The 10,186-nt window shown below is 59.7% G+C and overlaps 1 long non-coding RNA gene across 1 annotated transcript; it reads left to right on the top strand.

Moving 5' to 3' along the window:
* The first annotated feature begins 1,270 nt into the window (after nt 1–1,270).
* Nucleotides 1,271–5,447, top strand: LOC124903393 (uncharacterized). Its single transcript, XR_007064359.1, has 3 exons — nt 1,271–1,463; nt 1,839–2,239; nt 3,665–5,447. It is a non-coding gene; the product is annotated as an uncharacterized LOC124903393 (long non-coding RNA).
* The last annotated feature ends 4,739 nt before the right edge of the window (nt 5,448–10,186 follow it).

The following is a 10,186-nucleotide window of genomic DNA, read 5'->3' on the forward strand; positions in this document are numbered from 1 at the left end:
TCTTCATCCATCTATCCATGCATCCATCCATCCATGCATCCATCCACCTGTCTGTTCATCCATCCTTCCATGCAACCATCCATCCATGCATCCATCCATCCATGCATCCTCCATCCATCCATGCATCATCCATCCATCCATCCATCCGTCCATCCATCCATCCATCCATCCATCCATACATACATACATGCATACATCCACCTATCTCTTCATCCATCTGTCCATGCATCCATCCATCCATGCATCCTCCATCCATCCACCCATGCATCCACCTATCCATCCATCCATCCATCCATCCATCCATCCATCCATCTGTCCATCCATCCATCCATCTATCCATTCATCCATCCATGCATCCATCCACCTATCTGTTCATCCATCCTTTCATGCATCCATCCATCCATGCATCCATCCATCCATGCATCCATCCACCTATCTGTTCATCCATCCTTCCATGCATCCATCCATCCATGCATCCATCCATCCACCTATCTGTTCATCCATCTTTCCATGCACCCATCCATCCATGCATCCATCCACCCATCTGTTCATCCATCCATCCTTGTATCCATCCATCCATGCATCCATCCACCTATCTGTTCATCCATCCATCCATCCATCCATCCATCCATCCATCCATCCATCTTTCCTTCCTTTCGTATCCATCCACCTAGTCATCCTTCTTTTCACCCGTTACCTCTTTCAACAGAACCATGCCCAGTTTAGGGCCTAGCCCACTGGTCACTAGCCCATGTAGGCCATTATGGTCCAGAGTGCTGTGGGCCCTTAGGGAGAACAGGAACTGGAAAGGTCCAGAGGGTGCCCCAATGCAGCTCGGAACCCGGGTGTCTGCCCTGGGAGGACACAGGAAGGACTGGGTCTGGTGTTTTGAGGGTTGACAGGCAGTGAGCCAGGCAGGGGCAGGGCATCCTGGGGTGAGGGCTTCGGGGGAGGAGAGTGGCAGTGTAGGGGGCAAGGGACAGGTGACCTGAGGGACGTTGCCCCATGCTGAGATGTCCTCTGCTTACGGGGAAGGCCAAGCCACGGACGCAGCACCTTGGTCCAAGCACACACCTTAGATCCTGGAGGGTCCTGGATGCATCTGGTCATGGACTCACCTTGCTGCTTGCTGGCACCCTCCCCAGGTGTCATGTCGCATCTGCCCTATGTTTGTGGGTGATTGTGACCCTTTCATGGGTGGGGCAGCATGATCGGGGCAGATCTCTCAGCTCCCTTCCCCGGCGTGACCCTCCGTCTTTCTCTTTGTCAGTTCTGACATTTACTCATTTTTTGTCTACAGAGAGTGGATGAGAGCTCTCTGCCACTGTCCGGGAGGGCTGGGGCTGGGTGAGGTCTGGGGGCTGGGTGAGGTCTGAGGGCTGGCTGGCAGCTAGGAGGAGGGAGACATGACGCTGACGGCCCTGCATTGCTGCTTCCTCCAGCTGAATCTACCACCCTGACTTGTGAGTGTCGAGGGCTTTCTGGGGAGCTGCTGGGACTAGAGAGGCGAGATCAGCAGGTGGGTGGGCCTGGCCTCTCAGCTGGCCCAGGCCCTTCCTCTGCTCAAGCCCCCGGTGAGTGGAGTCCCTGAGCTGGGTGACCATGAGCTTGCCTGCCCGGCATGGTGTGTGTGCAGGGCTGGGAGCTGGGGGTAGAAACTTGAGCTCTGTGCCTTGGTCTGCAGTGGCCTGCAAGGCCTGGTGCCTCCAGGCCCCGACTGCGACTGCACAGCCTGAGCCTGGGACACCATCTGGGGCCTTGCAGGGCTGGGCCACTGCTGGTCACCACACACTGTCCTGGTCAGAGTGACCCCCAGGTGATCTCTGTCCTCTTCACAGAAGGGTCTCCTGGAGAAAGCCCTGGAGCAGACACCAGCCCTGGCTCGCTGCAGCCTTCGAGCCCCACTCTCTCCTCTGGACCTCAGTTTCGCCATCCATCCAATGGTGACCACTCAGTCACTGCCAGATCCTGAGCAGATCCGTCCTGGCCCTGGGGAGTGGACCATCAGGGGGCAGGGCTGGCCAGTGAGCAGAGAGCTGGCGGTGACATGGGCTCAGCACAGAGCACCACGTGGGGCCTGGGAGGAGCCATGAGAGCCGGCAGCCCTGCCTGTCCTCCAGATGAAAGCGAGGCCCGCAGCCTGAGAGGGAGGGAGGAGACGCTAATTACGCCCAGCGCGGGGCTCCCCAGGCAGCCTCAGCCACAGGATCAAACACCGCCTTCCTCAGCCACGCGCCCGGTAGTGCCAAGTCCAATTACAAGTCTAACCAGGGCTGGTGTGGGCCTCATGGAAATTCAGCAATTAGACCCACCTCCAGCAGCTCCTGATGGGCCTGCTGTGTGTGCATGTGTGTGCCCCTGTGCCTGTGTGCAAGTGTGCATGCACATGCCCATGGATGGACACACACAGTGTGTGTGTGTGTGTGTGTGTGAAGGGAAGCAGGGTGAGGGGACTGCTCATTTAGGAGGAGAGGCCAAAGGAGGCCAGGCCCCAGTCAGGCCAGGAGAAGGGGTCCACATGCTTGGGAGATGGTGAGCCAGCAGGGCTGCTGCCTGCTGTACTGGATGGAACACGAGGCCCTTTGCAGGGGAGGAGACTGCAGCTCAGGAACAGAGAAACCCCCTTCCCCAGCTCTAGTGGCTGAGCTGCTGGCTCAGGCCCTTGGGGCTTCCTGGTGGACCCTCAGAAGAGGGGCGCCTGGGTGCTGGCCTTGGGTGCAGTGTCAGCCTGGATCAGGGAGGGAAGATGGCTCTGGGCATGGATGGGGATGGCTGGGCCTGGCAGGGGCTCTTTCATGGGTGCATCCCAGGCTCCCAGCCTGTACCCTATCCTTTCTAGATGGTAGTCTCAGCCCTGCCCAAGCCTGCCCCTGAGATCCATCTTCTCCCAGCCCTGAGACAACCCCTTGTGGGCCTCCGTGTCTGCCCGACTGGCCATATCACAGTGGTAATGAGGGCAGGTAACGAGGGCCCACAGCGTCCTGCGCCATCCACGTGGTACAGCTGGTCTGCCTCCCTGCTGCCTCGGCACCCCGGAAGCCAGGGCGAGCAGCTTGGGTGTCTGTGGGTGTGGGGTTCGGTTAGAGAAGCTCCTAAGTTCTCAGGAGTTCTGCTGGCCACTGTGGCACCTGGGGAGTCCGCAGGACAGCCCAGCCCTCAGCACACAGCCCCAGCCATTTGGGGGGATGCTGTGAGGGTGGACCTTCCCCTCCTTTCCCGCCTGCCCACCCTTCACCTGGCCAGGCCTCCTCCCCATGTGCGATGTCCTCCCAGCAGTCGCCCCTCCTGCTCCTCGGTCCTCACGTCCCCAGGCTCCCCTGCACCCCTGACACCCTCTCCCCTCCCCCTACCTCCGCAGGGAGGAGGTGAGACTCCACTCCAGGGGAGGGGCTCGGACACTGGACCAGATTGAGGACTAGCTAAAACAGGGCCGAGGTGAAAGCAGCTTTCAGTCAGACCTGCCCACCAGTGTGCCATGTCAGTTTACCATTGCCATGGCAACACCCTGGAGTTACCACCCCTTTCCGTGGCAACGACCCAATGACTATTACCCCATCCCTAGAAATTCCTGCACAAACCACCCCTTAATCTGCATGCCATTAAAAATGGGTAAAAACATGACGGCAGAACTGTCCTGAGCTGCTGTTCCCTGCCTATGGGGAAGCCCTGCCCTGCAGGAGCAGTCACGGAGCTGCGACACCACCAGAGCTGGGACACCACCAGAGCTGCGAGACCACCAGAGCTGTGACACCACCAGAGCCGGGACACCACCAGAGCCGGGACACCACCAGAGCCGGGACACCACCAGAGCTCCGAGACCACCAGAGCTGCCACACCACCAGAGCTGTGACACCACCAGAGCCGTGACACCACCAGAGCCGGGACACCACCAGAGCCGGGACACCACCAGAGCCGCGAGACCACCAGAGCCGTGACACCACCAGAGCCGGGACACCACCAGAGCTGGGACACCACCAGAGCTGCGAGACCACCAGAGCTGGGACACCACCAGAGCTGCCACACCACCAGAGCTGCGACAGCACCAGAGCCGGGACACCAGCAGAGCCGGGACACCACCAGAGCCGCAACACCACCAGAGCTGCGACACCAGCAGAGCCGCGACACCAGCAGAGCCGGGACACCACCAGAGCCGTGACACCAGCAGAGCCGGGACACCACCAGAGCTGCGAGACCACCAGGGCCGGGACACCACCAGGGCCGGGACACCACCAGAGCTGCGAGACCACCAGGGCCGGGACACCACCAGAGCCGGGACACCACCAGAGCTGCGAGACCACCAGGGCCGTGACACCACCAGAGCCGGGACACCACCAGAGCTGGGACACCACCAGAGCTGCGAGACCACCAGAGCTGGGACACCACCAGAGCTGCCACACCACCAGAGCTGCGACACCAGCAGAGCCGCGACACCAGCAGAGCCGGGACACCAGCAGAGCCGGGACACCACCAGAGCCGTGACACCAGCAGAGCCGGGACACCACCAGGGCCGGGACACCAGCAGAGCCGGGACACCACCAGAGCCGTGACACCAGCAGAGCCGGGACACCACCAGGGCCGGGACACCACCAGAGCTGCGAGACCACCAGGGCCGGGACACCACCAGAGCCGGGACACCACCAGAGCTGGGACACCACCAGAGCTGCGAGACCACCAGAGCCGTGACACCACCAGAGCCGTGACACCAGCAGAGCTGGGACACCACCAGAGCTGTGAGACCACCAGAGCCGGGACACCACCAGAGCCGGGACACCACCAGAGCTGCGAGACCACCAGAGCCGTGACACCAGCAGAGCCGGGACACCACCAGAGCCGGGACACCACCAGAGCCGGGACACCACCAGAGCTCCGAGACCACCAGAGCTGCCACACCACCAGAGCTGTGACACCACCAGAGCTGTGACACCACCAGAGCCGGGACACCACCAGAGCCGGGACACCACCAGAGCTGCGAGACCACCAGAGCTGGGACACCACCAGAGCTGGGACACCACCAGAGCCGGGACACCACCAGAGCTCCGAGACCACCAGAGCTGCCACACCACCAGAGCTGTGACACCACCAGAGCCGGGACACCACCAGAGCCGGGACACCACCAGAGCCGGGACACCACCAGAGCTGTGACACTGTGGCTTCAGTAAAGCTGTTTCTTCTACCACTGGCTTGCCCTTGCATTCTTTCCTGGGTGAAGCCAAAAACCCAGAGGGCTAAACTCCACTTTCGGGCTCGCCTGCCTGCATCATAACCATCAGGCCTGGAGAGCCGGGTCTCTTGAGAGTAAACTGCCGTGAGATTCTACAGGAACTCTGCCTCTCCTCTGGGCTGAGCTGTTCTGCCTCAGTTTCCTCACTAACAAAATGGGGTGACATCTTGAGGTGGCCCCTCTCGGTGCTGCCAGCCTCTCTGCTCCCCACTCTTTTTGGGCAGCCCTCAAGGCCCTCGTACAGCATCTGGGGGGCGGGTCACACTGCATACGGCAGGGGTGGGGGGGGTCACAGACAGAGGTGCTAAATCGATGCAGGACGTCCGCCCCAAAGACACGCTTGTGCTCCCTTTGGAGAGTCCTGCATCCTTCGCCCTCTGTTCATCTGTCTGTTTGGGTCCTGGGGATGAGTCTAGGTGGCGGCCATCTCCGGATGTCCCCAGGTTGCTCTGTGTGGGGAAGGGTGGGGAGGCTGCTGGGAACTGGACTCTCCTGGAGAGAGGCAGGGCCAGTGGGCTGTGGGTGCTGGGGCTTGGCACGGTGCTCCCCAGCCTGGTGGCCCCCTCTGCAGTGGATGGAGTCGGGATCCTGGGGGCAGTGAGTCTGGGACCCCGTCTTGGGAAGTCAGCCAGCCCCAGGAGCTGATTTGGCCAACCTGGCCTCAATTGAGCACCAAGGGGGCCTGAGGGAGCACCGAGGGGGCCTCCTGGGAGTTTGTCACATGATGGAGGCCTCGAGCCGTGGCCCGGCTCTGTCTGCTCGCGCCCCCTCACCCACGGCTGGCTATTGTGGATGGTGATGTTCCTGTTACAACTGAGGGATCTCCATAGAAACCCAACAAGGTCTAATTAGACACAAGTAAGTGCTTCCCAAATGCATTTTAATTACAGCTCTGCTGAAATGAACGTCAAACTGAGGTTTCAGTTGCTGCGTGTGTGAACCGAATTGGCGCCTTCTCCTTTTCCAGCCATCAGTATGCCTTTTGTGCGATTTTGTGTTAGCACCCAGCAGGATGGGGTGTCAGAGCCTCAGAGTCCCCAGGGAGTGTCCCCGTCCCAGCCCAGAGGGGAAGCGGCACTGGGGCCCAGGGGCAGTGGTGGGGACCCTGGGATGCAGAGGGAAGAACCTGGGGTTCCGGGGGGCAGGGCTGGGGGAGGGATTGAGGGAGTGCCCGGCATTGCTGCTGGCACCAGGGGGGTGTCTGTGCATGAGGAGGGGCTGAGAAGAGTCAGCTGGTCCTTGCAGAAGGGGGCCCCTGGGAGGGGCCCACCCAGACAGGCCAGGTGCCAAGTAGCATGGGGAGTCCTTGTGGCGTGGGTCTTGGGGGGCGAGGCCTGGGCCACATTGCTGGGTGGGCCTTCAGCAGGGAGGAGCTCAGGGGGTCTCCTGAGGGGATTTCCTTCCTCCCTTACAAGAGACCTGGGGCCAGGGTATGACTGGCCACCCAAATTCGCACCCAGGGTCCCTTCAGCGCGGGCTGGGCGGGCAGCCGAGAGCTGGGCTCAATCTCTCCGTCACACCTGCCTCTCAGACGCGCATCATGGGATTCTGATCCCCACCAGAAGCTCAGAATGTGACAAATGAGCAGAAAGAAGATCCCGGGGTGTTGAAGGCAGAATTTATTGTGGAGAAATTGCTCTGCAACTCTACTATTGTAGGCTTTAGAAATAGACTTTTCAGTACATAAATCCCGTGGCTCCAGCCTCACAGATAAGCCCGGCCCATCCGTCTGGAAGAATTCACAGATGACAAATGGAGGGTGGTGGCTGGTGTGCATTTGTGCCGTAGGCGGGAGCTCAGGACAGGCCGAGAGCCCACAGCCCCACCTACGGTCTCAAGCCAGCTGGGTCTTCCACTCGCTGCCCAGCAGCACCTGAGCCCATCCAGCGCTCTGCTGCTTCTAAGGAAATGGACATCTGGGGTCAGCCCAGGCCTCACCAGGGAGGAGGCAGAGCCCAGGGAGGAGGAAGGATGCAAAGCAGGAGGAAGAGGCCGGATGCGGTGGCTCACGCCTGTAATCCCAGCACTGTGGGAGGCCGAGGTGGGTGGATCACCTGAGGTCAGGAGTTCAAGAGCAGCCTGGCCAACATGGAGAAACCCTGTCTCTACTATGTCTCTACTAAAAATAGAAAAATTAGCCAGGCGTGGTGGTGGATGCCTGTAATCCCAGCTACTCTGGAGGCTGAGGCAGGAGAATTGCTTGAACCAGGAGACAGAGCAGAGGTTGTGGTGAGCCAAGCTCCTGCCACTGCACTCCAGCCTGGGCCACAAGAGCAAGACTCCATCTCAAAAATCAAACAAACAAAACAAAACAAAATCATAAAAACCCAAGGTGGGAGGAAGAGCCGGCTGGCCGGGGTGGCCCTGGAGGCTGAGCCGGAGCCGCACTGCTCTCGCAGGTGACTAGTTCTGTGATCGTGGGCGGGATATTTTGCTTCTCTTTGCCCTGGTTTCTTCATCTGTAAAGGGGCTGCATCTCTCCCTGTCCAAGTTCAACGTTAGGTAGCGTTCTCCTAGAAGTGCACCCTGGGACCAGGATTCAAGGGCAAGCAGTTAATTTGGAGGGTGATTTGGGGTCACCGGCAGATAGAAGGGTGCAGGATGTGGAAGGGGCCAGCGATGATGGGGGCTTAGCCAGCAGGTCCCTGGGCAGGCAATAGCGCAGCCCCTTTGGGGGCCTCTGGGAGAGACCGAGAAACATGGCGGAGTCGTCCCACCCGAGGGAGGGAGTGAGTGACATCCTTTATCCCTGCCCTCATGGGCTGGGGGCTGCCCCTGGAGGGCGAGTGCCTGAGGCAGGGCAAGGTCATCACAGCACATGGGAAAGGCAGGGCTGAGAGATTAGCATCGGCACCACCTGTGTTGGCCACTGAAGCTGCTCCACACCACGGCGGCTGGAGAGCGCAGGTCCATGCACCCTGGGGTACCTGAGGGCAGGCCTGGCACACACAGCCCCTGGCACAGCGGGCGCTCCCCCAGCCAGCCAGACCCAGCTGGGACAGATCTAGGCCCTCAGGTTTCCAGGCCTCACCTGTGGCCAGACGTTTAGCTCAGGCTCAGGGTGGCCCTGGGACTGGGCTGAGAAGGGAATGGTGAGAGGTAGGACTGGAGGCCCAGAGAGGACCCGGGGTGGGGACGGCGCAGCTGTGTGCATGCAGCTGTGTGTTGTGAGAGGTAGGGTTGGAGACCGAGAGAGGACCCAGGAGTGGGGATGGCACAGCTGCGTGTTCAGGGCAGCAAGGTGGCTGCAGGGACGCGGCCCCATCCACAGGCGGCCAAGGGGATGCTTCTCATGAAGTTCCAAGGTGGGCAAAAGGCATGAGGCTGGAACCCCTCCCAGGGAACCCCCTCCAGAGGCCCAGGCAGGTGAGGAGATGGCACCCCATGCCGGCACCTAGGCTCCCAGGGCCACCCCATCCCGCCCGCCTGGCTCTGCTCTGGGCCAGCTCGGGTTGGGCACAGAATGGGAGGCCCCGGTGTTCTGAGAGATTCGACTCTGTTTCTATGAATATTGTCATCAGCACCATGCTGCCAAGGGTAGGCGGAGTCCCCAGATGGCCCCACAGTCTCCATCATGAACTCCTGAAGGGATGCTCTGCTCTGTGGGACAAGGACATTTGCAGATGTGGTAAAGGGAGATGGTCTGGGCGGCCCGACCTCGTCACACCAGCCTGTTGAAGCCAGTGTTTTCTCTGGCTGGTGGGAGAGCAGAAGTCAGAGATTTGAAGCAGAAGGATTCCAGGTACCATTGCTGGCTGCAGTTGTGTGTGTAGGGGGATGCGACAGGCAGTCCCCAGCTGCTGAGCCCCTAATAGCCAGTGAGAAAGCAGGACCTCCCCGATCCCCCCGCAGCTCAAGAAACGGAACTCTACCAATCACCTGGAGGATCCTGGATCAAGTGGAGCCCCATGGAGCCTCCGGTGAGAACTCACCGCAGCTGACACCCGATTCTGGGCTACGCAGAGAACCCGGCCGTGCGGGAAGTCCGGCCTGCAGGTGGGGAGCTCATCCATGCCCTGGTTTAAGACGCTAAGTGTATGGCTTAAGACGCTAAGTGTATGACAGTTGTCACACAGCACAGGAAATGAATACATGTCCCCGATGTGTTTTTCTGGAAAACACGCCTTGCATTTGGCGTCCTGTGGCCGCTGCAACCAGTGATCGCAAACGATGAGCAGGGGGCATCCTCTCAACGCCCCAGGGTCCAGAGGTCTGAAATCCGTGTCCCTGGGCCACAGCCAAGGTGCCTGCAGGCATTGCCCCCTCTGGGTGCTGCTGCCGGGACCCTTCCCTGCCTCTCCCGGCCCGTGGTGGCCCCAGGCGTCCTTGGCGTGTGGCCCCATCCCCCCATCTCTGCCTCTGTCTTCTCACAGCCTCCTCCTCTATGTGCATGAAACCTCCCTCTGCCTCCTTTGCATACGATACACACAGTTGCGTTTCGGGTTCACCAGGATCACCCAGGCTAATCCAGAATAACCGCCCCATCCCAGGATCCTTAGCATTATGCAAACCCTCTTTACCAAATAAGGCCACACTCACAGGTCCTAAGGATAAGATCTGGTACCTTTGGGATTACCATTCAGCCTCAAAAATGATGGAATTCCTGCTGGGTGCAGTGGCTTATGCCTGTCATCCCATCACTTTGGGAGGCCAATGTGGGTGGACCACCTAAGGTTAGAAGTTTAAGACCAGCCTGGCCAACATGGTGAAATCCCGTCTCTACTAAAAACACAAAAATTAGCTGGGCGTGATAGCGGGTACCTATAGTCCCAGCTACTAGGGAGGCTGAGGCAGGAGAATCACTTGAACCTGAGAGGCAGAGGTTGCAGTGAGCTGAGATTGTGCCACTGCACTCCTGCCTGGGCAACAAAGTGACACTCCATCTCAAAAAAAAAAAAAAGAAAAAATGGAATTCCTTCAATGATTTTCTTTGCAGAATAGTTAAATCTCTTCTAGTTTTCTTTT

The sequence above is a fragment of the Homo sapiens genome, chromosome 14 (assembly GCF_000001405.40).
Source record: "Homo sapiens chromosome 14, GRCh38.p14 Primary Assembly".
Taxonomy (NCBI): domain Eukaryota; kingdom Metazoa; phylum Chordata; class Mammalia; order Primates; family Hominidae; genus Homo; species Homo sapiens.